Below are 27,844 nucleotides of genomic sequence, written 5' to 3'. Positions count from 1 at the left end.
TTGGCCTTTAAAAATATATTCTACCCACAGTGGGGGGCCCCTGACCAGACTCGAAATTATACAGCCCCCAAATCATTTTCTATCTTTCAGACCCTTAATTCCAAGCCAAACAAACCCAGGAGTTCTTCCAAATCCATTTGGAGGTGAGGAAGTGGGAGGCTCCATTTGGGGAAATGATGAGGTTCTTCCTTCCTCTTGGGGCTGAGTGAGCTCCCTCTTCAGGACTCCCACGGCCTCAGAGGCCAAGGTTCAAGAGCCTGAGAAACAGGGCAGAATCAGGTTTCCCTTTAGACCACAGACCACAAGTACTCCATCCAGTGTAACAGGTACGTGTAATGTAACGTTGTATTAGTCAGGGTGCTCTAGAGGGACAGAACTAGTAGGATACATGTGTGTGTGTGTGTATATATATATATATGTATATGTATATGTATATATGTATCCATATGTATATACACCCACACAGTCATAAATATATATATTTATGATTTATATAAACATATGATTATATATGATTTATGATATATATAAATATATATATATGATTGCATGAGTGTGTATATATATATATATATAGGAGTCCATTCAGTAGTATTAACTCACGTGATCACAAGGTCCCACAGTAAGCCATCTGCAAGCTAAGAAGCAAGGAAGTCAGTCCAAGACCCAAAGCTGAAGAACTTGGAGTCTGATGTTCAACGGCAGGAAGCAACCAGCACAGGAGAAAGATGTAGGCTGAAAGGCTAGGCCAGTCTAGCCTTTTCATGTTTTTCTGCCTGCTTATATCCTGGCCATGCTGGCAGGTGGATTAGATGGTGCCCACCCAGATTAAGGGTGGGTATGCCTTTCCCAGCCCACTGACTCAAATGTTAATCTCCTCTGGCAACACCCTCACAGACACACCCACGATCAATACTTTGCATCCTTCAATCCAATCAAGTTGACACTCAGTATTAGCCATCACAAAGGTAATCAAAGTGGAAGAGAGAATATTTCTAACAGTTATCCTCTTAAGCTCTGGGGTCACATAACTTGAATAAGTTACTTCATCTACTTTAACTTTAGTCTCCTCATCTATAAAATGGGCCTACGAAAAGTCTTCACTTCCTAAGTGTGGTGTACAAATTCAATGAGATAATTCATGCCAAGGAAAAGGCATGTAGAAAGTATTTAGTAATGTGTAGTTCTTATGTTGTATCCCAAGGATCCTAAAACCCATGCTTTATCTGCCCCCTGAAATTCTCCCATGAGAACAAGGTAACACCAGAGCTAAGTTTTGATTTGACCTACATGTCTCATCTGTGAGAAGGAGTAGGGGCTGTGGAACTTTCTGGTTTGGAGTGGGCATTAACCAGTTCCCTGGTTGTAAGCCAACACCTCTGAATTTTGCAACTGTGATTTCACTTCACTCCAAAGCCCCAAAGTACCACCCCTGCCATTTGTAGATAGAGGTGAGAAATGAGTCATTTTTGCCACCTTCCTCAAAGCTCTGATAATTTTAAACACACCTATGTTCATTAGTGTTCCATGTGAAACATAAAATAACTTTTAGTTAGAGTTTGGGCAGTCAAATGCACCCAAGCTTAATAAGAAAAGAAGGAGTTGTATAATGTCATGCAAAGAAGAATAGCCTGGGTCTTAGTGTGGCACCTGTGGGTGAACTAGGCAGTTCAAGGGAGCAGTCATGATTCACTCATTCTGGCTCTGTTGTTTGGCAGCTGCAGAACTGTGGGTAAGCTGTTGAACCTCTCCAAGCCTACATGTCCTTCTTTATAAAGAGAAGAAGGTAAAAGCCTTCCTAGGGTCATGATGGGGACAGTGTTCTGTAGGTAAGTATTTGTTGCTACTGGGTTCACTGCGCTTCTCTCCACAGACCTGATGGCTTAGGTAGGCAAGTCCGTTAACCATTTGGTATCTCCTCATCAATGGCAACCACAAGCAGGCAGCTCATCCTCTCCTAGGACCTATCTTCAACTTGCACCATGGGCAGTACCTGAGAGACTCCAAATCCAACACCGGCAGGGGGTGCATGTCCCAGTTGCACACATGTAGTCAGGCTGGGAGTGAGTTGGAGCCAAAAGAGAAGGAACTACTTTCCCAGGATTCCCACTGGCTGTCTCTTGCCCCTAGAGAGAGGCCACATCCAGCTGGAATCTGGCAGGGACTAAGTAGGGATTCTGGTTCTGGGAGCACACAGAGAAAGTCTCCTTGTCTCTTGAATATCTCCAGTTCCTTCTGTGGGACTTCCTCTGCTCCATCTGATGTCCTTCGAGTCTTGTCACAGCATTTCCCACCTTGACTTGCTGTTTACTTAATTTTTTCTTACTATTAGACTTGTAGTCATTAATAGCATGGACTCTGGTCTTAGACTATCTGAGCTAAAATGCTGCTCTATCACTTGTCTCAGGGTCCACATCTGTAAAATGAGGGTAAAAATCACTCTTCCTTAATAGGGATGTTGTGAGGATTCAATGAATTTATGCAGGTAAAGCACTCATAACAGTGTCTGGATTACAGTTAGCAGCATATGTGTTGACTCTTCTATTATTGCTTCCTTTTGCCTGAGTGACATCTCATAATTAGCAGGGTTCTTCAGGGGTTTCATCTTTCAAAAGAGAGGGGATAGAGACTGGCCAGTCAGCTCTTTGCTCAGGACATTGAGTTAATCCATCATCTTGCAACACACAGTTGGACTCTCTTCCTGTCTGTTTATTGTGATCCTAGAGTGGCTCCATCCTTCCTGTTCTTGGGACAGTTCCTCTTTTTCTGGAACTATCTGTTTACTCACATTTCTGTATATCCACCCTTCCCCACACAGAGAGAAATACATATTCACATTTTACAAACAGATATAAACTTAACTATAAGAAACCCAAATACTCATATATGCCAACCCCACCAATATCACCCAAGGAAAAGGGCAGCTCTGCTATGTTCTTAATTCTCCCTAAATATGGCTGGTGCCTAGGAGACTGCTTTGGGCTTTTAAAATATTTCCCCTCAACAGCTATCTTTTTAAAGCTACAACAACAAGGGAGATGAGTTAAGAGAGTTCTCTAAGGTAAAATTGTCTCTTTTGCCACTTAGGTAAAACTTACAAGCACCACACAATACCCTCTCCCTATCAGACCTCAGCCCTCCCGGCCCACACAGCCTCTTGGGAGCAAAGTCCATCTTCATGTAAAGCTCTGGTGAGAGACATGGGCAACTCTAAGCACTCCTCTTGCCTTTACCAGTCTGTATAGCACAAGATACTCCAGACATTTCCAAAAAGTTACCCATCGGCTTCCCAGTAAAAAAAAAGGCCATAAATTGGCACTTTCTTTTCTCTCTCCACCCAAGCTGTTCATACAGACAAAAAAATTTAAGTCTACAAGTTGAAAAACGCTTTCTTTTTTTTTAAAGCAGCTACCCACATTAAAGGAAGACTGTTTAATTCTAGATCTACAGCTAGAAGATCAAAAATAGGAATAATTAAAGTCTGAGATGTAACTGTTAAGAAAGGCATTTTTTTTAATCCTCTTTGCCAAGTCTTTAAACAGGTAAACCACATATTTAAACAAAGTATGAAGATCTGAAAATGCCAATGGGATTTTTTTTTTTGGTTTAAGACATAATGAATTCAGTCTTCAGAGACCATGAAGCAAGGTTTATAAAGCTCTCTAAACTGTCAGCTGAATAATTATCTAGCAAAGCCCATGTGGAGGTGACTCCCTGTGATTCAGCTTCTTTCCTGTTTTGAAACAGAAGGTTATTAACCTCTGGAACAAAATCTGGCAAAGTCAGGAACGTCAATTTTATGCAAAGAGTATTTCCTTTTTGTGGCCTTCCTTTTCATCCTATGATGTTTTTTAAAGTCTTACAAATATACCGAATTCTACTCAACCACCCTTTCCAAATGCCCCAGAGAGCATGTAGAACTTAAAAGAAAAAAAAAATTAAACAAGTCTCCCTTTTCCAAGGTGGCCAGAGCCAAATGAACTTTATGTCAAAAACCCATGAATAATCTGACAATTTACATTCCAAAGAGAAGGTGAGGCAGGTGCATTAAGGGTCGTATGCAAAATAAGAATTCTGAAAAAAACAAAAAACAAAAAACAACTCATTACTGCCAAACCTGTTCTTCTTTTAATATGATTATAATTTTAAATTGTGGTTTTAAAATACCTAAGTGCTTGGATGTTATTGCTTTAAAGTCTCCACTTGAGAGATTGTGGCTGTGGTTTCTTTTACCTAAAAGTAATCTGGACAGCTGAATAATGGGCTCCTCCGTTTGTTGCATGGACCTGTTCATCATATTTTGAAACTAACTTATTCAGCCTCCTTCCCCACAGGATGCAAAGTATCTTCAAGCAAAGAAAATACATGTCATTATCCTAACTTGACTGAAGGAAAAGCTAAACAGTGAACTTGAGATCAGATGCAAAACCTGAAATGGAGCAGAAACAGTGCCTGGCTTGCTGGTGTTCAAAAAAAAACCCTTGCCTGGGTGTCAGACAGGGCTGTTCACTACACCAAACCAGGTAGGAGATGCGGGATTCGTGGAGTAGAACACAAAAGCCCAGTTCACTGAGTATAAAGAAGGAAAATTAACAGCCCACCTGTTCCAGAGCTCGCCAGCTTCCTTCCAGCTTAGTCAAACAGGATATTTTGTTGTTTTTTGTTCTAAAACCAGAAATCTACCTACTACTGTTACTGCTGCTGCCTGTCATCTGCCACACTCAAAATGAGCCTGAGGTAGGCAGGTGTTTTCATGCTTCACTCTCAGGGTAGGAGTGGAACTGGGAGAAGGGCAATGAACAAGAATGAGGTCCTGGCCTCTTATCCCCAACTGAAGATCACCTTAGCTACAAAGTCTCCATTATCAGTGTAGAGAAATGTGGTTAGCAGACATGGACAAATCACCAAAGCAGCTGTAACTGTTCCTGGTAGGACGTTATTTCTAGACTTATCAGCCTGAACTGTGCTTTAAGGACTGGAACTGGGTAGACATGCCATCACCATTCCCTGGACAAACCAACAAATGAAGAAGCAAGCATAAAGCGGCAATCCTACAACCACATACTTGGTAGTTTCCTCCTGGAATCCGGAGTTATGGTGTTAGAGTGCTTTATTTTACCACGATTTTTTCAGGTCATCCCAGCCTTAAAAAGGTGCATGTCTTTGTGACTTCCTCCTGACTCAAGATAAGCTACTAACTTATCGGTAAACTTCTCTATCCTAACACTTAAACTTCAAAGTTTGGGATCCGCATTCATCTTCTCTCTGTATTCAGCTGCATGATTCTCAGTGTTCCAAGTGCCATAAACATCAAAGTCTCTTTGACTGTTTCTTTCTCAAAATTTCAAAGCCCCTTGTGAAAATGGACTCCCAAAATCTCCTGTCCTGATATCTTGGAGTTCCCAGCTCTGACATGATACTTAGGCCCTGATTAGTCTGCAAGGCTAGGTTCAAATATATGGCACATATGTATAAACCATGAGAGCTTGATAGCTGCATTTCTCAGTGCCAGCCTCTCTTTGTAACAGAGAAAATGCACACACAGTCCACAAGAGATGCTGAGACAATTATCTCAGCATAACCAGAGAATAGGGATTCCTTTAAACCCCCTGTATTCTTTGATAGCATTAAATCCATGGTTCCCAGGATCACTGGCATTACCAAGTCATATTGTAGCCAATCTATATTTCCCTGCTGCCTAAAGACCAGCCAAGAGCTGTCTTCACCCTTCCACCATTCTTTCTTTCTAGAAACTAGAACAATTGCATGACATGCTGTAACTGACCAGTGACTACTTGGTTAGAGGACATTTTGAGGGACACCTTTCAGTTCTGCAAAACCTAGCAAATCAAATCAAAACAAATAAAAATACAACAGCTTGGATCATCAGGATAAGGGGCTAAAGCAAAAAATATCTAATTTTGACAGGTAGATGGAATTGTTACTTTAGATTTTGGCAAATTTATAAGAGGAAAAGTAAACTCGTGGTCTTCATAGGAAGTCAATGGTTGTATATTACAATGTGGACCAATTTCACCCAGATAGAATTCCTAAGTACATTGATACCTAAGTAATTCTTCTTTAGGTGTCCTTAAATCTTTAGAAAATCATTTCTGATTTATTTCCATGTAGGTCTTACTTTTTTTTTATTAAGTTTATTCCTCGGTAGCTTACAGTTTTGTAAATGTCATCTTTTTTTCCTCATGACATTTTCACAATTGCTTATTAATTGGGTATAGTGTCTGGCCAACTTACTGAATTCTCTTATTAGTTGAAATCATTTTTCAGTTGATTTGCATGGATTTTCTAAATAGAAAATTATCACGTCTGCAAGTAAAAACAGTTTTGTCTGTTCAACATTTATGTTTTATTTCTTTTTATTATTTTATACCATTAGTGAGGATTTTGAGCAATAATAGTGTGTCCTTATTGTCTTTGTTTCTGATTTCGAACTGGTGATTCACCATTGAGTATGATATTTGCATAGGGTTTCTTTCCTTTATTAAAATAAAGCTGTTTTCATTTTGAGTTCTATTTTAAGTTTTCTAATCATTAATGGGTCTTTAATTCATTAAAATTTTCTTCAAAATCTATCAAAATGATGTAATGATTTTATCCTCTTAATTCTTGATCAAATGAATTACATTGATAGATTTCCTAATGTTGAAAAATGCTGGCATTCCAAGGATAAGCCCTACTTAATTAAGATGTATTATTCTTTTAATGTACAAAAGAATTTAATTTGCTAATGTTTTATTTAGGATTTGTGTACCTTTGTTCAGGAATGTGATTGATGTACAGTTTTCTTTTCCCACATTATCCTTTGTTTAGTCTTGGTATATGGTTATGCAATCCTCATAGATGAGTAGAGAAGCTTCTCATTTTATTCTATGTTCTGAAAGAAGTGATACAGTCCCCAAATTATCTGTTATTGGTGATCTGAGCCTTCTGGCTAGCTTTGATTAACTTTGTAATGTTTCTGTAATTACCTCTTTTCAATCAGTGTTAGAATTTATATTTACCTAGAAACTTATCCATTTTTTAATGTAGATTTTCGAATTGACTGTAATGAAGTTGAACATGATATCTTTTAATGTTTTAAATCTCCTAACAGGATCTTAGTCTCCTTTCTTGTTTCTAACATTGTTTTGTGAATGTCCTCCTTTTTCATAATTGCAGCCTTGATCAATTTTTCTTTTTTGCTTTTACTCTATTAATTCCTGCATTTCATATGTTTATGTATTCTTTCTATTTTTTTGGTGAGGGATTACCCTATTATTTGTCACTAGCTTCTTAATGCATAAGTTTAATGCATTTTTATAAACGTTTCTCATTGTCAAATTAGGACGTTTAAAGCTGTAAAATGTCCTCTGAATATAATTTGGTATACAACCTCTGAGTGTAGTTTTTTTTTAAGTGCTGTGCTCACATTTTCATTTAGTCCCAAATTGTTTGTAATCTCAGTAAGATCTCCTTTTTAACCCAGAAGTTATTTAGAAATCTGTGTTAAAATTTCCTGGTACATGTATCTAGAATATATATAATATTTCCACAAATTATTAATGAAAAGACAAACAACCTGTTATAAAATAAATCTAAATTTAAACAAGTACTTCACAAAAGTAGATATTTGATTGGACAATAAATTTACAAAAAGGGAGCTGGGCATGGTGGCTCACGCCTGTAATCCCAGTAGGTTGGGAGGCTGAGGTAGGTGGATCACTTGAGGTCAGGAGCTTGAGACAAGCCTGGCCAACATGGTCCAACCTCATCTCTACTAAAAACACAAAAATTAGCTGGGCATGGTGGCGGGTGCCTGTAATCCCAGCTACTCTGGAGGCTGAGGCAGGAGAATTGCTCGAACTTAGGAGGCGGAGGTTGTAGTGAGCTGATGTCACACTACTGCACTCCAGCCTGAGTGGCAGAGACTTTGTCTCGAAAAAATTATAAAAAGCAGTTGAATATTTAATATTATTTTAATATTAATGTTTCAATATTGATATTCAACTTTTTATAAATGCATTGGCCAAATATTAATATATACAATATAAATATTAATATTTCCTAGTCATCAGGAAATGCAGGTTAAAACCACAATAAGATATTTCTTGTATTCTCTCTCTCATCATTGTATGATATATGATGTATATGATAGGACAATGACAGAAAAAGAGAATATAAAACATGATCTGAGACCTCATAGCGCTTACCTCCTAGTGGTAAAGCCTAATGTTTTTGTCAAATAATCATACAAATTTAACCCATTTACATATATTGTAATTACTAATATAATTGGATATATTTCCACAATCTTATTTTATGTTTTCCATCTATCCTAATTTTTTTTTTTTTTTTTTGAGACAGAGTTTCGCTCTTGTTGCTTAGGCTGGAGTGCAGTGGTGCAATCTCAGCTCACCACAACCTCTGCCTCCTGGATTCAAGCGATTATCCTGCCTCAGCCTTCTGAGTAGCTGGGATTACAGGGATGTGCAACCCGCCCTGCTAATTTTGTATTTTTAGTAGAGACAGGGTTTCTCCATGTTGGTCAGGCTGGTCTCGAACTCCCAACCTCAGGTGATCTGCCTACCTCAGCCTCCCAAAGTGCTGGTATTACAGGCATGAGCCACCGTGCCCAGCCCATCTATCCTAGTCTTAAGCAAAGCTGTTAGTCTTCCCTTTTTACCATTTGTTTACATTTAAATACTTTGAATTTTTTCTCGAGAACGTTGGACATTATACATCTTATTTTTATTTTTTCTTGGTGATTATCCTTAAATTTTAACACACATTTAAGCATATATTTTTCTATGAATATCTGGTATTAGTCAACATCTCTATACTCTCCCTGGATAGTTACCTATTGATTTGACACAATTCCAAATTAGTCTACTTTCACTTTCCCCATATCCTATCCCCCCATTCCAAAGCCACTATGTTAAGATCATTTGAGATTTTAGTTTTAGTTTAGTTCTATTAATTATTTTTTCCATTGTGCTATCAACAACTTTTTAGATTTAACTTATAATTTTACAAGTTTGTTTAACACTTTCTTGTTACTTATCGACCACTTTCTTAGCTTCATTTTTTTCTTTCGCTAGAAATTCTCGAGTGTATCTGCTTAGAGAGGGTCTGTGGTTGGTAATCTTTCCAGTCCTTGCATGTCAGTGATTTTATTTTGCCCTTCAACTTTAATGCTAGTTTGGCTCAGCATACAATAGTTTTCTTGCAGCTGTTCTCTTTTCAGCAGTTGAAAACCAGTGAATACCCCTAAATAGCTGTCATTTTTGTTCTGGTGCTGCTTTTCCTTTGATTTCAGTTTAACAAATTTGTTGAGTTCCCATTATGAGTTGCACACCTTCCTAGGTGCCGCGGATACAGGGATGAGTAAGACACTGGTCTGCGCTCTATGTGCTGGGTTCACTCCCCACTTCTGCCCTGGTCTTGCTGTGCTTCTCTCAGATCCCCTTCTCCCCAAGGAGCCACCTTCCTCAAAGCAAGCCAATGGTTGGCTGTGCAGCAGCAAATGATGTGATCTGACATTAAACAAACAAAAAAATCCCTGCATTGTGCTGACTTATTTCTCATTCTTATGCATTTGCATGGGGGAAATGCCCAAAGAATGAAGCTGTAAAAATATTGCTACTTGCCCTTTGGCCATCCACCCACTGAGGGAAGACCTCAGGCCATCTGGTCTCTTCTGATAAATGCTCTGACCCAGCTCTGATGGACAAACCATGTCTTTCTCACTGTCATTTTCTGAGTGATGACATTGGGAGGGAAAAGCCTAGCTTCTTGGCAAGCAGTTTCCTGAAGGAAAAAAAAATGGGCTGAGGGTGGAGGGAGGATTTATTAAATTACCTGAAAAACTTTTTTGAAATGCACTTCCTGGGTCCTTACCCCCAGAAAATGAAATTTGACCTATTGGGGGACCCCAAATACACATGTTTTGAAAAAGTGCTTTAGGAAATTATCATATGTATTTGACACATGACCACCCTGCCACCTCCTACTGGACAATCACTGATGTTATCTAACTCTTTCCTTTTATACATGGCCCACAGAACAAAGGTGATTGATTTGCCTAAGGCTGCACAGCTAGTTAATAGTAGAGCCAGGAAGAGACTTGAGAACATTTTGATTCCCAAATGAGCGCTTCTTCTGACATTACCAATGCTTCCCCTTTAACTCTTGTTCTTCTGGAAATGATCATCATCATCATCATCATTATCATCATCATCATCTTCACCAGACATTCTACTGGCCACATTACATAAAATTATCTCTCGTATTTGCAACAGTTCTATAAGGCAAGTATTATCTCCATTTCTCACTCCCTGTCCACATTGCCAACCTTTGCATACTATGCATCCTGAGACTCAGGATCTGCCATCACCAAGTTCCCCTATATCTTTTGTCCCTTTTCATAAGGTCTCTTTATATCTTGCCTTAATGGAAATTTGGCTGTCCCCTTCATCTGCAGCCTCTCAAATGGAGACAATTCCTGTCCCACCTTATTCTCTTTATGTCAGACTGAAAGTGGAATAAATGTCACATTGTACTTTGAATTCAGTTATCTTCTCCCCTCCTTCAAAGCCCCTAGATCCTCTGAAATTCATGTCTCCAAACTTGACCATCTGCCATCCATATCTGCTAAACTGTCATCTACCAACTCACTCCCTTCATTCATTAATAACTTTAACACCTGTTCCTATCCCCTATTCCCATCACCATTCTTGGTGACTTTAACAACCTTGTAGAATAGGGACTCATGGAATACCTTGCCATCTGAGTTCCCTGACCTCCTCACCTCCAACAATCATTAATCTCTATTTCACCTAGGCCACACTCTCATGATTGTGTCCCTAACCCTGTCACCACCAGTTAAGGCACCACTTCCAAAATCTGTATGTCAGTACTCCCCATGCTCTGAAATCAATCCATTGACCCTACTGTTTTTACGTCTTTATAAATATACAAAAAATACATTATATATGTTCTTCTTTTTATCCTCACTTACCTTCTTGTTCTGCTTAATTCCTTTGTTCACCATTATAATTACTGCTTTGTGCATTCTGCTGTTTTTCTAACCTTTCTCTTTCTGTCAAACTCATCTGGTAAATGCACATTAAAGATTAAGTCCATATCCACGTATCTTATGACTACACCTGAGGTGCTCAAAGTTCTGGCAGAAAACACAAAGATGCTAATAAGTTTATCTTCATCACATTACTGCACACCCAAAATAGGCACTCAGCACACCTGGCAGTTTTATGACACTTCTTTAATGTGCCCACTTTGTGAAAATATTTTCTTCGCATCTTCCCTTTTGTCCTTAAGCTTTATAAATGGCTAGCTTGGCATGGATTCCCCTAAAAGCCATGCCTGAAACAAAGACTTACCTGAAGGTAGTTTTTATAAAAAGTGATCAAAGGGATCCAGAGACAGGATCCGAGGAGTGAAACAGGGGAAAGGCAAAGATGCATAAGTGAGTGGGCTGCTCCTAGGACAACAGATGGTCAATTCCATGGGACCTTCTAAAGATCCTGATAGGATGCAGCTTTTATTTATCTGCTTGGGGAGTAAAATGGTTCAGCATTTATCCATAGGATCCTGCCTTCCATTGGTCAAAGGTGGTTCTCGACACTAACTTCCTCACATCTCCAGGCTGTCCATGGGTGAGTGCCCAGTGGATTCTACAGACATTCTACACAGCAGCTTCAGAGGGGTCCTGGGGCAGACATTGCCACACTGCTGCAGAGCAAAGCTGTTTTGACACCTGTGCAGAAGTGGCCACTGTAATGGTCAGAAGAGTAGGGAGTGACACTGGGAGGATTTGAAATGGGGCACAGGAGATATCCCTTGTACCTCGCATATCTGTCATGGACCCTCTAAACCTAATCTGAGTCTTTTTCAAGGCTGCAGCCTTTACCAGGACTTAGTGTAAGAGTATGAGTGACACAAGTTCTGATTCCCCTGCCTCAGCTGATCTCAAGACCATACTTGGTATACACCACTTATTTCTACCACCCATTCTCCATTTCCCTCATCCTCGGTCAGCATTTAGTTAGTGTAAGTTGCTTGTTTTGTGCAGTGACAGAGACCCTTATCCCCAAGAGGTCTGATCCCTTACATACCCTTCCCATGCCATGGTTGTTGAATTGTGGGTCTGCCATAGTTATGAGGCAAGAGAACACTGAAAGTCACTCCTGTAGATATCCCGAGGTTCAGACATAGACCTCTCTGCCCTCACTGGCTAGCTAGCAGCAATCCAACTCCTCAAGTCAATGGAGTCTAGCACAGTGTGAGGACCACTTCGGTGCTGGCCTTGGGGAGAAGGTAAGAGAGACAGATGGACCAAAAGTTATGCATAGGAGTAGTATGGGGGCCAGAGACCTTAACAAAGAAGGGCCTATCATTTCTTGAGGACCTACTATGTGCCAGGTAGTTTGGGTGACTTGTCATTTCCACACGAGAGCGCCACCGTTATCCTCATTTTCATAAGAGGAAAATAAGTTCAGAGCAGAGAACTAACTTGTTGAGCCAGAGTCACACCCAGACTGCCCAAGGGGGTGAAGCCTACCAGGCAGGGCTCCTTTCAAGGCCCAACCTGACTAGATTTGCATGCAAAATACATAAGGAATCGTGTACCAAGACACTGCCAAGGAGTCAGATCATGACATGGCCAGCCACAGGGCACCTGCAGCCTCTCCCTCTGTCCTTCCTCCAGAACACCTCTTTGCTTCTTTTGGGTGTGAGGTGTCTTGGGCAGACCAGTAAAGTGTGATTCTTTCAAATCCATCCTGTAAACGCACCTTTCTCCTTCTTAAAGTCTCCCTGTCTTCCCAGGAGCCTCCCTATGCACCTTCAGGAACAACACCCAAGCAGGGTGCCTGTCTGCAAGGGGTGGATCCAGTCCGCGAGGCGGCGTAGCGGGCCTGGGTCTGGCCCCGGGCCAGCGAGAGCTGCGGCCGCCTGCTTTCTGTGGGAGCAGCGACAGCGCCGTAATGACAGCGCGGGCAGGGCGCGGGAAGAGTGCGGGGCGGACCCGAATTAGAAGCGCGGGCTCTCATCAGGAGATGCAGGGACCGTGGCCAAGTCCCGGGAGCGTGTCGGGCCCACTTGAAAGCACCAGGCGGCTGGGGAAGAGCAATCAGATGGAGGAGCCCTAAATCTGGAGCTGTTTAGGGTAGACAGCAGCCGCCGCAAGGGCACGCAGGCAGGCAAGGAGCCGCCGGGGCTGGCTGCAGTCGCGCGAGGGCCGCTTGGAAGGTGACGATGGATTTCAAGAGCGCCACCCGGAGGAGCCCCAGGACCTGCGGAGGGAGGGAGGCCGGCCTAGGCAGGCCTGGGCGCCGACCTCGTTTCCCGCGTGCCCTTCCCCACCTCCTTGGGTTGCCCCTGCTGCCCTTACTTTTGTGAGAGCCTCAGCGCCTGCCGCGGCCTTCTCTCCTTGAGTCGCTCTTGTTCTCTAAGGCTTGCTGGCCCCCAGGGCCATTGTTCTTCCAGACGGCGGCTGGAATAGGCTGCAGCTTCGGCATCCCTGGGGTGGTAAGAGTCAGGGCTGCTGTTGAGTGGGTGCCTCCTCTGTCCAGGCCCAGCGCTGGGAGCACCCAAGCTTTACAAAGGCAGCAGAGCAGGCTTCCCTGCGCCGGCTCTGGGCCAGACTCCCTGCCTGGACTCTGGCCACTTCTGCCACTTACTGGTTGTGAGACCATGGACAGGTCACTTAACATCTTTGTGCCTCAGTTTCCTCCTCCATAAAACAGGGATGCTGACAGTGATGACACTACTTTCCTTTCAGGGTTGAGTAGAGAGTCCTTAGAGAGGTGCAGAGCTGACTTGCGTTTTGAATCATGTCATTTACTCCTTGGAACAATGTGTGAATTGTCACATTTTATAAGGGGAAACTGAGGCTCCAAAGTGAATAGGCACTTGCCAGATGACACATCTAGCAGGAGCTGAGATCTGAAACCTACACTTTGTGACTCTAGGATCCATGCTCTTTTTGGTCTTTCAAAATCAGAAGCAGAGAAAGAGACAGAACGACAGGTAGACAGGCAGAGAGAGCCCATGCAGTGCCTGGGCTGGCCCTGGACCCTTGCCAGAAGCAGGGATTCCAAGTGGTGCTGCTTCACTTTTACTTCTACTCAGTATCCTGGGAACCAGACCAAGATCTGGAGCCAAAATTCCCACTGCAGAACGAGAGGCTCCAAATTAGATGCGTACAAAAATAGACATAGACAGGTGATCTTTCCCAGCTCTTTCTTTCTCCCCTTCCACAAACAGGGCTTAGTGATACCCTAGCCACCTACCGAGAAGCCATGGGCCCTGTGGGAGAAAGATGGGGCACTGCGGGGTTTATACTAAAACAGTAGTTGCAATCTAGTTTCAGAATCTCATCAAAGTCCTTCTCTTGCCCTTTTTAAGGCTCTGTTTCTAAACAGAAACCAAGTGGAGGAAAAGAGATTGTAGAGTTTCAGGACTTTGCAAAGGCTCCAAGCATTAGAGCATTCTCTAAGCTCTTCTCCCAGTTCTTGCCTTTCTTCTCAGTTTTCTTCTTGCAGCCCTGTGCCAAGCATTCAATTAACCACCCTGCTCCTGCCCCCATCTCAGCCAAATGGGTACCAGATGTACCATGTAGACGTCGGACAAAGTGGGATAGAAAAACTTTACTCAGACAAATTGGCAGAGAAAACACAATTAGTCAAAGCAAACAGAGCTGAAGCAGCAGGCAAGCCAAGTGTCCAGGAGCTCACCTGCAACACATTTCCAGGAGCCCCTCAAAAACCATTCATTTCAAATGGGGGCCATATGCAAGCCCCTACCCAGCAATGACAGGCTCTGAGCATAGCAAATCAAGAGTCACCATGCAAGGGGGTGGGGAAGTGAAAAGAGATGAATTTGCTTGTGTTCCACCCTGGGGTCTCCAGGAAGGATGTAGGGCCTGTGGCTGCTGTGAAAACACAAGAGCTTAGTGCAAAGAAGCAACCAGAAAATTGGCCCAGCTCCTTCCTGATCTTGCAATCTAGACCTCCAGCTGGGGCCCAGAATTGCAATCACTGGAAGAGGAAGGAACAAAGGCCCAGTTTGAAATAACTCTTTCTTTGGGGGTTCTGCTCGGATCCCTCAGCTGAAAATAACAGCCATCACCTTGGGGGGCTCCCTAATGGCCTGCCTACTTGGAGCATCAGGCAGACCAGGAGAAGCTTCTGCCAACAGCAAACACCCAGAGCCCTGGGTGGTTTGGTCCTGCCACTACCTGCGAGCAGCAGCTGAGATGCAATACTCATTCACCCTCCACCAACATTACAGACACTAAAGTGAGAATTGCAAGAATTGCCTCTTATCTCACAGAACAGCACAGTGCCAAGAAGCAGTGCTGCAAGCTTGGCCTTATATCAGACAGATATAACCTCAAATTCCAGTTCCACCTCTTATGAGCTGTGCAATCTTGAGCAAGTTACTGAACCTCTCTGGGCTTATTTCCTCATTTGTAAACTGGAGATAATACACATAATACACTTAAAGTTGCAAGGAAGATTAAGAGAAATATGCACATGTATGGTGTTGAACACATCTGGCACACAGTCAGCACTCAATAAGTGGCAGCAGCTGTTGTGCTGGGCTCACTGAAAGGACATAAACACCTATAGAAATAGGGAGGTAGGAGAGAGAGGAGTGAATATGAGGAATAAATCTGTAGCTGAAAGGTGTGAGAAGATAAAAGAGCTACAGTTGGAAAAAAACATAGCAAAGTGTCAATAGAACTACGTCATCCACACCCACTTACAAAAAGAGGAACTGAGCTCTCTAGCTTATTAGCAGGGGAAATGTTCTATTTAAAAAACCAAACTAGCCCAAAGTACACATCAACTGTACTGCATCCACATAGTGGAAATGATCACCCAGCTCTGCACTTTTCCTATTGCATAGCCTTGCATGATACCTGAGCTTGGCTCCCCTTGCATTTCACCAACAAGGCCCATCTTTTATTTTTCCTACCTATAGAAATGATTCCAGATGAAAAGTGGTGGGTGGATTACAACTAGAAAGGAAGGTATCCCAGTGTTCTTTTGGAGGCTCAGTCCCTGGAGGTGGTCTTGGCTGGTGGCCTCTGTCCATAGATCTGATACCACCACAACCCACCAGTGTGTCCCAGCATCTGCTCTGTTCTCTTCCCCAGAGCTAACCAGGGGACCTCAGGACTAACAAGGATAGTAGCAGGAGGAGGAGCCACATGGCTGAAACCTGGGAAAACCAGGCCAACTACAATCAGTCCATGGAGCTTGTATTTGGGGATTTTGTTTAACAGAGCAACAGTGAATCTCAGTCTGGAAAATTTAGCTTTATTTTCTTCAAACTTAGAAGTCCAACTCTGAGCTGCCAGTTCAAGTGTCTGGTGAGAGATTCAGTCCAGTTGCTGTTGGGGCCCCTCCCTTCCTAGGCTGCACAGGAATCTGGGGAGGCTTATCTTGCTCAGAAGATAGTGAGCAAGAGTCTCCAATTGCCTGGACATCCAGGTTGCCTCTCATCTCTTATGGCCAAACCCACAGCAATCCCTTGAAGTCTGATGGCTCTTCACTGAGTGACAGATTCACTGTCAGGCTGGGGGCTGAGGAGGCAGGGCCTTGGGCTCAGCCTGCTTATGTGTAGGTGTACCATGCTGCCTTCCCCTCCAAATTTCATCTCCTCCTTGGGATATGGCTACAAAATGGTAATGTGGTTTTACTCTCTCCCTCCCCATAGCTCCAAAATAATTTAGTCAAGAGAAAAATCTCTCCTTCTTCTCACTCATCGACCACTTAGGCTCTATAGTGGTTCAATGGTATTCCCCTGAAAGTATGTCCACTTGGACCCTCAAAATGTGACTTTATTTGGAATAATATTTTTTTTCAGATGGAACTAAGGTAAGGATCTCAATATGAGATCGTCTTGGATTAGGGTGGATCCCAAATCCAATGACAAGTGTCCTTATCAAAGAAAGCACAGAGACCCAGTGTGGAAAGCCACGTGAAGACAGAGCCAAGGAATGCCTAAAGTTGCCAACAGCCACCAGGAGCTGGGAGAGAGGCATGAAACAGATGCTTTCTCAGAGGCTCCAGAACAAATCAATCCTGCTGATACCTTAATTTTGGACTTCTGCACTCCAGAGCTATGAAATAATAAATTTGTGTTGTTTTAAGCCACCAGGTTTATGGGCAATTTCTTAGAGCAGCCCTTGGAAATCAATACAGGCCTTTAGTATTCTTTAATTACCTTAGACTTTTGCAAAGGACAGCCTTTTATCTTCCATAGCTTTTGCTTTCTGCCTTGCAAAAGCTTCTGTGGCACAGAAATGATAAGACCCTAGATCCCTGCTAACAAGGGCAAGGAAAAAAGTACAAAGGAACACATGCAAACTAAATTCTCAATACATTATACTGACCCCAAACACTTATGGAACCTTTACTTCAAAAAAAGAACTGCGATGAGTGGTGTGTGAGAGGACACAGAGATTAAGCCATGGAGCACCTGGGTTAAATTTGGGCTTCCAAAGAGGTATATTGGAGGTTGGAGGTTTGCAGGTCTGATCTAGTGACATGGTTAATGGGTCATTTCCCCAGGAAGGAAGTCTAAGGCATCAAGCCAGGAAAATATACCTGGCTTCTGAATTTGCTCATCATTCTCATAATATGTTGCTGTGAGGAAGTTGGATCTATCTGGAACCAGTGGCCCTGGTGGGAGCTTTTGACCCAGGCAGATAGAGTAGATGTGAGGTACAAGAATAAAGAACATAGCTAAGCCCTGTCTCTCCTTCCTTTGGCTCCATTCCTGGGTATTTATGCCTGGGATTGATATTGATCCCAAGTAGTGCAAAATTTTCAAAACATATCTAACTCTTTGTAACTACTATAGCATAAATTAGTACTAATTTTAATCCCTAAGCAGTGAGTTAACATGGCTATCTAGCAAAATTTAAAAACTAATAATTAATAGGTACAAATAAATGCTTTCTGACTATTGTAAACTGTTTTTAACTTGTTTATGTTTATCCATGTAGCATCTGAAAACCCTTCTACTTTTAAATCCAGGTCTCTTGGTTCTCCATAACTGTCCACAGATTACCTATGACTTTAATATCAAGAGTTCTAATGTGTGCACCAAACCCCGGTGACATGAATTTACCTATATAACAAATCTGCAAATATCCACTGAACCTAAAATAAAAGTTTTTAAAAGAGTTCTGTGCAACATCCAAAGGCTTCTTCAGTATGTTTCTTCTGTCCCCATAAAATGCAGATAGCGAAAAAAGACACAAAAAAACTCAGAAATGGGCCTCTAGCCAATTCTAAGCAGTTGTTCAATTGCTTTGATCCATCCCAATTAAGTGAGTCATCTGCCTCCATTCTCCTGGTCTCTGATCTGTTTCTGTGGTTTAGTTCTAATACCTTAAACTTATCCTTAAGCACAGCCATCAGCACTGCTTGCCTCGCTTTGTGTTTCACAGAACAATTATGACTTGAACTTGCTTCGGTAAAAAGGTAAATATTTCGTAAGAGAAGGAACTAACCCTCAGAGCTAATGGAACAAAGGAGTTGAATGCTACCAAGTTTCTCTTCTTGCGATTCCCTCTTTACTCCTCTCTGTTGTCCAGTTCATTTTCTAAGATCAGCTTCCTTCACTTGGTTGGAAACTGACTATCAGCCACTCCCTTGACTCATATGCTTTCAGCAGGGGGGGATTTATGTCATTTTATAGCACCAATTGAAAAAAAAATCCTAGGGAAAAATGCTGATTGACTTGGCTTAGACTATATGCCCATCCCCATGACTACTGGGATTTATGATTGACAGCATCAATAAAAACATAGGAATGGGGAACGAGTTTCCCCAAGGACAAGGAAGGTGTTATTCCAAGATTAAAGGAAGGTGAGTACAGGAAAAACAAAACAAAACACCCCTTGATGTCCACTATTCTTTACTTGACCACAATATGGTATTTCTCTCCAAATACGTAACTGCTTAAGACTGCTGTGGCTCAAGGAGTCTTTCAGACAACTTTCCTGAGCTGCTTCTTCTTACACTGATAGGTGGCATTCTTACCAAATTCACCTAAGACTCAAGAGAAGAATGCTGTTAAATCTCCAGTTATTCATTATATATGTGTGTATGTGCATATACACACAATTTGTATTGTAAACACTTTATAAGATACTCTTATTTTGTATACAATCATAGTTCATTTAGGTTTACCTACATATTTTTCACTGTGTTTGTTCTTTAGTCCTTCTTACATGTTAGACTTCCCATCTGGGATTACTATCTTTCTGTCTAAATTATATCCTTTAGAATTTTCTTTCATGTAAGCCTGCCAGTGATAAACATCTCTCCACTTTTTTGCTTTGGTTTTAAATTTCATGTTTGTTCTCATTTCTTCTGTATTCTTGAAGAATATCTTAGTTTGGTATAGAATTCTAGGTCAGTAGATTTTTTTTAACACTTGACTCCATGTTCTTCTACTGCTCACTAATCATCTATGTGGCTGTTGAAAAGTCAACTGTCTGTGTAATTGTAGTGCCTTTGACGACAATTTGCATCTTTCTCTCTACATGTTTTAAAATATTTGCTCTTTGATTTTTTTTTTGTAGCTTCATTTTGATGGGGTGGATTTTTAAAAAATATACCATTTGACATGTGATACACTCCTTAAATCTGCGGGTTTCGTTACAGAAATTGTTAGCAATTATCTCTTTAAATTTGCCTCTGCCCCATTTTTACTTGATTCTCCTTCTGAGATTCATCTTAAACCTATTTTAGGTTTTCTTATTCTACCACATGTGTCTCTTATCCTCTCTAATTTTTCTTTTTTATATTTTTTCATTTTTCTGTGCTGTTTTAGATAATTTCTTTGGATCTATTTTCCAATATACTAATCCTCTCTTCAGTTGGGTCTACTGTACTAGTTAACCCATTATTTAATTCTTAATTTAAGTTATATCATTTTTAGTTCTAGACATTCTGTTTCTTTTAAATATCTGCTATATCACTTTTTATTACTTCCTGTTTTCTGCAGATCAGGTTGATTCTATGGCTTAGAAGTTTTACAGTCTGTGTTTGACAATTCCAGTATTTTAAATTTATTTATATTATCATGTCTTTGAGCTGGTTATTGCTCAAGGTGTCTTATTTCCTTGTCTATCTGGTTATCTGCTGCATGCTGGTCATTGTGTCTGAACGTGTGTGTGTGTGTGTGTGTGTGTGTGTGTGTGTGTGTGTGTGTGTATATATATGTGTGTGTGTGTGTATATGCAAGCTGGAGACCCAGGGAAGCCAGCAGTGTAGTTAAAAAACCTCAGAATCAATAGTGTAGATTCCTATCTAGGTCTGAAGGCCTGAGAACCAGGAGCACCAAGGACAGGAAAAGATCCGTTTCCCAGCTCAGTCAATCAGGCAGAATTAATTCAACCTTCTTCTACCTTTCTGTTTTATTTAGGCCCTTTTGGATTGTTTGATGGCCACCCACATTGGAAAGGTCATCTGCTTTACTCAGTTTGCCAATTCAAATGCTAATTTCTTCCAGAAACACCCTCACAGACACACTCAGAAATAATGTTTAGCCAGCTACTTGGCATCTTATGGCCATCAAGTTGACACATAAAATTAATCATCACGAGTGCATCCATTGTCAACTTGGCACTCATACATATCTCCTGAAGCCATACTTAGTCTTCAAATAAAGACAATAATAAGGTCAAAATTCCACCTAATGTGATACAACTATCCTGCATACAACCAAAAATGCACTAGCCTCTGCCCTAGAAGAAAAGGTAAAGTTCTTGAGTGATATTTACTTTTCTCCTTGATATTCACAACTTAAATACTCTCATATAAAATTAGCAATACTAAATACTATGATATAAAGTCAACATATCTTATGTTACATGATAAGGGAATGAGAGAAGAAAGAAAACAAAGAGATACACACACATATTCTAACAAAATGAGAAAATACGCTTGACAATTATAGTCTTCATTTCTGTAACTGGTCATGTAATTATAGCTGATATTTATAATTACTTTCTACCACCCACTCTGTATTCCCTTTGCTTTCAGCAAGCACCCTGGCTGGCTGTGGTTCTTTACCCAGTGGTGTGACCCAAACTTTTATTCCTGAAAGGTCTGGGCTATTAGTGGTCCTGCTTAGATTGGGTTGTAGTTTTCCATTGATTTTAATCACAGGGCATGGTAATACTAAGATGCCCTAAGGGATCTGCCATATTCCACATATACTTTTCCTTATCTGCATGGTAGAATAGCAGTCCAATTTCTCCTTTGTAGTCAGGATTAATCACCTCAGCCAGCACAGTAATTGACATCTTTTCTGTTCATTCAGATGCATGAGGAGTCTAAAGTGTCTGAGTGGCAGTCTTAACTTCCAGTTCAGTGGAATTACTGCTGTATTTCCTTGTGGAAGTATTTCCTCCTTTGGAACTAAGACCTCTAAGCCTGGAGAGCATAAAGTCATGGGAACAGAAAGAACAATTTTTCCAAGTAGAGGTTACTGGGCGGGCATAGGAGTAAGTGGTGCCACTCTCATTTTCACCCTTTGATTCAGCAATCCTGACTGTGGGAGAAACAATACCTTGTATTGCTGGATTCAGAACACATACAGCTTTCTGGAAAACCTTGCCTCAACCCTGCAAGGCACTGCTACCTAGCTGCTGCTGTAGTCTTCAAAAGGCCATTTCACCATTCCGTCAAACCACCTACTTTAGGGTGGGGCGCACACACTATCTAGTTGCCTCTTTAGTGCTTCAAGATTGTTATTTTCATATTGCATCAGAATTTTAGTTTTCTTCAGCAGAAAAGTTGCTCTAAATGTCCTAGCTTGCCATTTTAGGAGTTATTATATGTTAGTAAAAAATATTATACTAGAAAATGAGAAAAAAAGAAAAGAAAAATCTTCCAAAATCCTACCATCAGAGATATCCAGTATTAACATTTTAGTAAAAATATTTTCAGAACCCTTTCTACACAAGCAATCACACACAAATTTTTCTATATAAATGGAAACCTGTATTATTAGCTAGCCTGTAACTTTTGCTCAACATGTTTATTTTCCACGTTAACTTAGATATTGTAACTTATAATGTTTGCATAATAATGCAGTTGACCCTTGGTCAACATGAGTTTGAACTGCAGGGGTCCACTTATAGATGGATTTTTTTCAAAAGCTGTATTAGAAATTTTGTGGAAGATTTGCAACAATCTGAAAACTCACAGATGAACCGTGTAGCCTACAGACACCGAAAAAATTAAGAAAAAGGTATGTCATGAATTCATAAAATATATGTATATAATACTCTACTTTATCATTTATTTACTACCATAAGATATATACAAATCTATTACAAAAAGTTAACATTAATCAAAATCTGCACAAACACAGACCATGCATAGTGCCATTCACAGTCCAGAGAAATGTGAACAAACATAAAGATGCAGTATTAAATTATAACTACATAAAATTAACTGTGGTACCATACTCTACTATTGTAATAATTTTGTAGCTACCTCCTGTTGCTATTGTGGTAAGGTCAAGCATTGCAAGTATCCTTTTGAAATGCCATAGAATGCTAATCATCCTTGCTTGAGCAGTTTGTCTCTCCAATAAATTGGGTATTGCCGTAAAAAGTGATCTCTCACACAAGCCACTGTTGCAGCAATGCCAGCAGACATGAAGACCTTGCACTTTTTGTAAAATACATTTTTATCTCATATTGAAAATGCAGCTTTTAGTGGCACCAGGACTGCTCTAAGAAAGGCACGCCCTGTAGTCCCAGCTACTTGGGAGACTGAGGTGGAAGCATTGCTTGAATTCAGGAGGTTGAGGCTGCAGTGAGCCATGATCACGCCACTGCACTCCAGCCTGGGTCCCTAAAAAAAGAGAAAGAAAACACAAAGACATGCCTATAGGCTGTAATATGATTTGAGAGAAAGCAAAGTCATCGTATGAAAACTTTACACAAACGGTGAAGAATCTAAAGCTGGAGAACTCTATGTCAGCAAAGGACGGTTTAATAATTTTAGAAAAAGGTTTGGATTTAAAAATGTCAAGATAACAGGAGAAGCAGCTTTTGCTGATCAAGAAGGAGCAGATGAGTTCCCACACATCATTAAGAAAATCACTGAGGAGAAAAGATACTGCCCGAAAAGGTTTTTAATAGATGATTTTAGTAGATGAAAGTGCCCTATCCTGGAAAAAAATGCCACAAAGAAAATTTATTATTATAGTAAGGAAGAGAAGTGAGCACCAGGATTTAAGGCAGGAAGGGATAGGCTAACTCTACTATCATGTGAAAACGTAGCCAGGTTTATGATCAGGATTGTCCTCACCTATAAATCTGCCAATTCCTTAGCCTTGATGGAAAAGATAAACACAGGCTTCCAGTTTTAAGGCTGTACAATAAGAAGGCCTGGACAACAAGAACTATTTTTTTCTGAACTGGTCCCATTGGTGCTTTGTCTCTGAAGTCACGCAGTACCTTGCCCAGTAAGAGACTGCCTTTTATTACACATGCCCCTGCCCACCCAGAACACCATGAGGTCAACACTTAAGGCATCAAAGTGGTCTACCTACCCCCAAACACGACATCTCTAATGCAGTCTCAAGATCAGAAGGTCATAAGGACCTTTAAGGCTCATTAAACACAGTACTCTATGAAAAAGATTATCAACACTATGAAAGAGAACCCTGATAGAAACAACATCATGAAAATTTAAAGGAATTATCTTCAATGGCATAATTCAATTGAAGATGCCATCATTTTAGAAAAAGCCATGAATACCATTGAGCAGAAATAAAAAACTCCTGCTGGAGAAAACTGTCTAGATATTGTACATGACTTCACATAATTTACAACAGAGCCAGTCAAGGAAATTATAAAAGAGACTATGCATATGGCAACAAAAAAATGTGGGAGGTGAAGGATTTCAAGATAAGAATCTTGGAGAAATTTAAGAGCCACTAGATACCACACCAGACGAATTAACAGAAGACAACTTGATGGACAGGAGTGTTTCCAAATCAATGACAAATCATGAGGAAGAAGACATAGAAGATGCAATGCCCGATAACAAATTGATGTTAGATAATCATGCAGAATGGTTCTGATTATTCAGGACTGCTTTTGACATTAATGACATGGACTCTTTTATGATATGAAACTAAAGCAAACAGTGGTAGAAGGATTGGTACTATATAGAAACATTTTTTAGAGGAAAAAAAGTCAGATGTGTTTTCGTAAAGTTATGCCAAGTGTGCCCGCCTCCCCTGCCTCCCCTTCCACCTTCCACATCTGCCACTCCTGAGACTGCAAGACCAATCCCTCCTCCTCTTCCTCCTCCTTAGCCTACTTGATGTGAAGATGAAGAGTATGAAGACTTTTATGACAATCCCTTCCACTCAATGAACAGTAAATACATTTTCTCTTTCTTATGATTTTCCTAATAACATTTTCTTTTCTCTAGCATACTTTATTCTAAGAATACAGTATATAATACCAATAGCTTACAAAGTATGCATTAATCGAATGTTTATGTTATTGTTAAGGCTTCTAGTCAACAGTAGGCTACTGGAAGTTAAGTTTTGGGAGAGTCTACACTTATACAAGGATTTTTGACTGCACTGGGGTCAGCTCCCCAACCCCCATGTTGTTCAACTGTATTCATATCTAACACATATTGAGTACTTACTATGTACATGAATTTTCAGTGTATTAGCTCATCTAATCTTTGTAATAACTCTGTGAAGTAGATTTTATAGATTATGAAGCTACTTTATAGATTTTATAAAGTGTTTTATAGACTAGGAAATTTAAGCAAAGATAAATAATGTGATCAAAATCATACAAGTAGTAAGAGGTAGGACTAGATTTAAACTCAGACTGACTCCAAAATCTATGCTTATAAGAACTACGTCAGACAGCATACCACTATCTGGATATATTTAATTTATTAAACTAAGCCCTCTACTGATGGATAATTAAATTAGTCAGTTTTATTATATATAAAATAACTTTTAAAAATTCTTGATATACATCTTTATGTACTTGCCTATTTATTTCCTCTGAGAAAATTCTTACAAAGAGAACTGCCATTATATGCATTTAAAATTATAGATTGTGGTACAATTGCTAATCTGTCCTCCAAAAAAAGTTTACCAATTCACAACCCCTCCATTAGTTTATAGAAGTGCCTATCTATTGACATCATTTTTAGCACCGAGTTTTGTCAATATTTTCCTTTTCTGATACTTGAGCATTGAAAAATAGGATTCTCATTTTTTTGCATTTGTTTTCAAATGGTGCTTATTGAGCTGTTAGTGTCTAATGAGCTGTCTGATTCCCAATTGCTGCATTTCCTCTGTTAAGCCTTGGCTTTGACCCTGCTTTTTCCTCTTCATCAGTTTGTCCCAAGGAGACAAGCTTTTTGGTTACGCTTCCTTTCAGAACAGAAAGCATTCTTCAGGATACAGGATTACTCAGAATCTCTCCTAAACCACATGTTCTGATTAGGATGTGCTTACCTGAGTGACTAAGATACTAATTTCAGAGCTGCTATTCTTTCCCCTTTTTATGCTCCAGAATCTGCTTACTTCTTCTCTCCTTTCTAATCAATGAATTTTCTAATAAAGACACTGCATGACTGGCAGTAACCTACCATTTTTTCCAGGCCTACATAATCTTCTACTTAGAGTGTGTGAGCTTCTAAGCTTGTTACACTATTAAAAGTGACTTGCATGGTCCATTTAAAAGCTGTGGTATGGTCAAAGAACTTTAGTCTAGAAACCACAACACAATTTTTAAGACAATACTGTCTTCCTTTCTTTTTTCTTTCCTACCTTTTCCTGCCTTCCTTATTTCCTTCCCTTCTTCCATTCTCTCCTTCCTTCATTTTGAGACAGCCAGGTGGGAGGGGGTCCCTGGAGAAACCCCAACCAGGCTGCCCACTGAGGTGGAGCCTCGGGAAGTTCACGACATTTGCAGCAGGAAGGAGCCTGTGAGGAACCTGGGATAAGGGCGGGAAGCACCCTAGCAGGGACTCTGGCCTAGTCCCTGTTTTCCCCTTTTCTTCCTTTTCACCCAATAAAACCCTACTTCGCACACCCTTCAAACCATCTGTGAGCCTAAATGTTCATGGTCGTGGGATGCAACAGGACCCCCTCTTTAGGTGAACTAAGGAAAAGCCCTGCAACAGTTTTGGCACCCAATGTGGGGCTCGAGAAGTGGTGAGTAAAATGGGGACTCAAAACCTCTCACTGTTGCTTCTAAGCCTTTTCATACTCAGACTTCTGAGGTGGGGGAAACCATGTCCCCACCCACCCTGTCACTCCCAGGATTTTTCATGGCCTTTTCCTTCCTCTTTCAGGAGGGACCAGTAAGTAGCAGCTCCCCACCACTCCCCACTCCCTGCTGGGGCTGGGATGCATGGCCCAAGGGTTCTGCACAGCCTGCAGGCTGGTTCCCAGCCAGGCTGAGGCAGCCTTCCCCTTCACCAGCCAAGGTGTTTCAACTCTGTTGGACAGTAATTTAGCTTCATCTTTTCTCCCTGGTGGAGGAACCAGTTGCATAAGAATAAGAGGTTCTTCCCCAGGAATTAAAAAAATTTTTTTTTCTTTCCTCTTCTCCACCCTGTCAGCAGTTAACTTTTAAAGTTTTTTTTCCCCCGTTTACTAGACCAGGTCCCCCAACTATCACTGTTCATATTTTTCATAAAGCTTTAATTATGAAAAAGGATTTGTGGAGCTAGTCTTGGACTGTGGCCACTCTGGTGTGCTTTGCATGTCTGTATCGCTTGTCCTGCAAGACTCCATCTTGCTTTACATCCTTGGGGCATGGCCAGTAACCCCTTGGCAAAGCTTTGTTTAGCAATACTGCCTTAGAGGATGAGTCCCCTGTGGTTCATATCTGCATGTTTTCCTAGCTCTGTCTCCTAGGGGACCTCACCCAGTGACTGGGTTTTCTTCTGCCTTTCTGTGTATGTACTGTGTGTGATGTCTATAAAAACAGCTCTAATTAATTTGGCCTAAAGAAAGACAAGTGCTTGGATCTAACATTTTTTAAAGGGAAGTTAAGAGCTGTGGAATCTTTCAGTTCATGTGACTTTAATCTTTGAGAAATAAAAGCAGCCTTAAAGACGATTGGTAAAATGTAGTTGTCATTAAAATGTAAATAGATAAACTAAACTATGTAGGTCAGATGCAAGGTTTGCTGAATATTTTAAGGTTACAAACTGCTTTTTGGGTTTTGAGAACTGTCTGTCTTGTCTGCTTTACAATTGTTTAGGCCTGGGGACATATGGAACTAAACATGCCCTTAACTAAGAAGGCAAACCTTGGATGCACTTAGCACACAATTAAAGCAACTTACCGAATTTTATCTTAAAGTTAAAAATTGATAGGAGTTATCACTATAACATGTAATTGAGACTACTGAAAATAGATTTATGTGCAAGGTGTGCAAGAACAGTAAAACGTGTTTTTTAGTAAAAGGTTTTAAGAAGGCATGGAAATGTAAACTTTTGCCTAGGGTTAAAGGATTGTTTTGAGTTAAATTAGGAAAAAGCTGAAAGTTCAAAAAGTGGTGGAGGAATTGTGGAAATTAATCTTGCAGAAGAGGATCTCTATGTGAACATATTGACTAAATTCAAAAGAGTTATAAAAAGTTTTTGCTTCTTTAAAATTTCCGAGTCATCATCATTTTAGCAAAATAAATAACTTATGGTAATCTGGAATACTATTTCACAACATCAAGTGCTTTAAACATATTTTACAGCCTTCCCCAAATCAAACTTCAGTTTGAAAA

The 27,844-nt window shown here is 40.6% G+C and overlaps 1 long non-coding RNA gene across 1 annotated transcript, besides 2 other annotated features; it reads left to right on the top strand.

Annotated features, from left to right (window-relative positions):
- The first annotated feature begins 237 nt into the window (after positions 1 to 237).
- Positions 238 to 7,392, top strand: LOC101927190 (uncharacterized). Its single transcript, NR_104675.1, has 3 exons — positions 238 to 326; positions 1,719 to 1,829; positions 4,335 to 7,392. It is a non-coding gene; the product is annotated as an uncharacterized LOC101927190 (long non-coding RNA).
- Positions 13,304 to 14,100: an enhancer, noted in NCBI's record as "H3K4me1 hESC enhancer chr5:115696405-115697201 (GRCh37/hg19 assembly coordinates)". NCBI's record gives its function as "activates a minimal SCP1, AML or CMV promoter by ChIP-STARR-seq in naive H9 embryonic stem cells {active_cell/tissue: H9 hESC(naive)}" and the evidence as "EXISTENCE:reporter gene assay evidence [ECO:0000049][PMID:30033119]".
- Positions 15,195 to 15,344: an enhancer, noted in NCBI's record as "active region_22945". NCBI's record gives its function as "activates an Ori minimal core promoter by ATAC-STARR-seq in GM12878 lymphoblastoid cells {active_cell/tissue: GM12878}" and the evidence as "EXISTENCE:reporter gene assay evidence [ECO:0000049][PMID:35858748]".

Source organism: Homo sapiens, chromosome 5 (assembly GCF_000001405.40).
Source record: "Homo sapiens chromosome 5, GRCh38.p14 Primary Assembly".
NCBI lineage: Eukaryota > Metazoa > Chordata > Mammalia > Primates > Hominidae > Homo > Homo sapiens.
The sequence above is the reverse complement of the archived record's forward strand: the minus strand, read 5'-3'. Positions and strand labels throughout refer to the sequence as shown.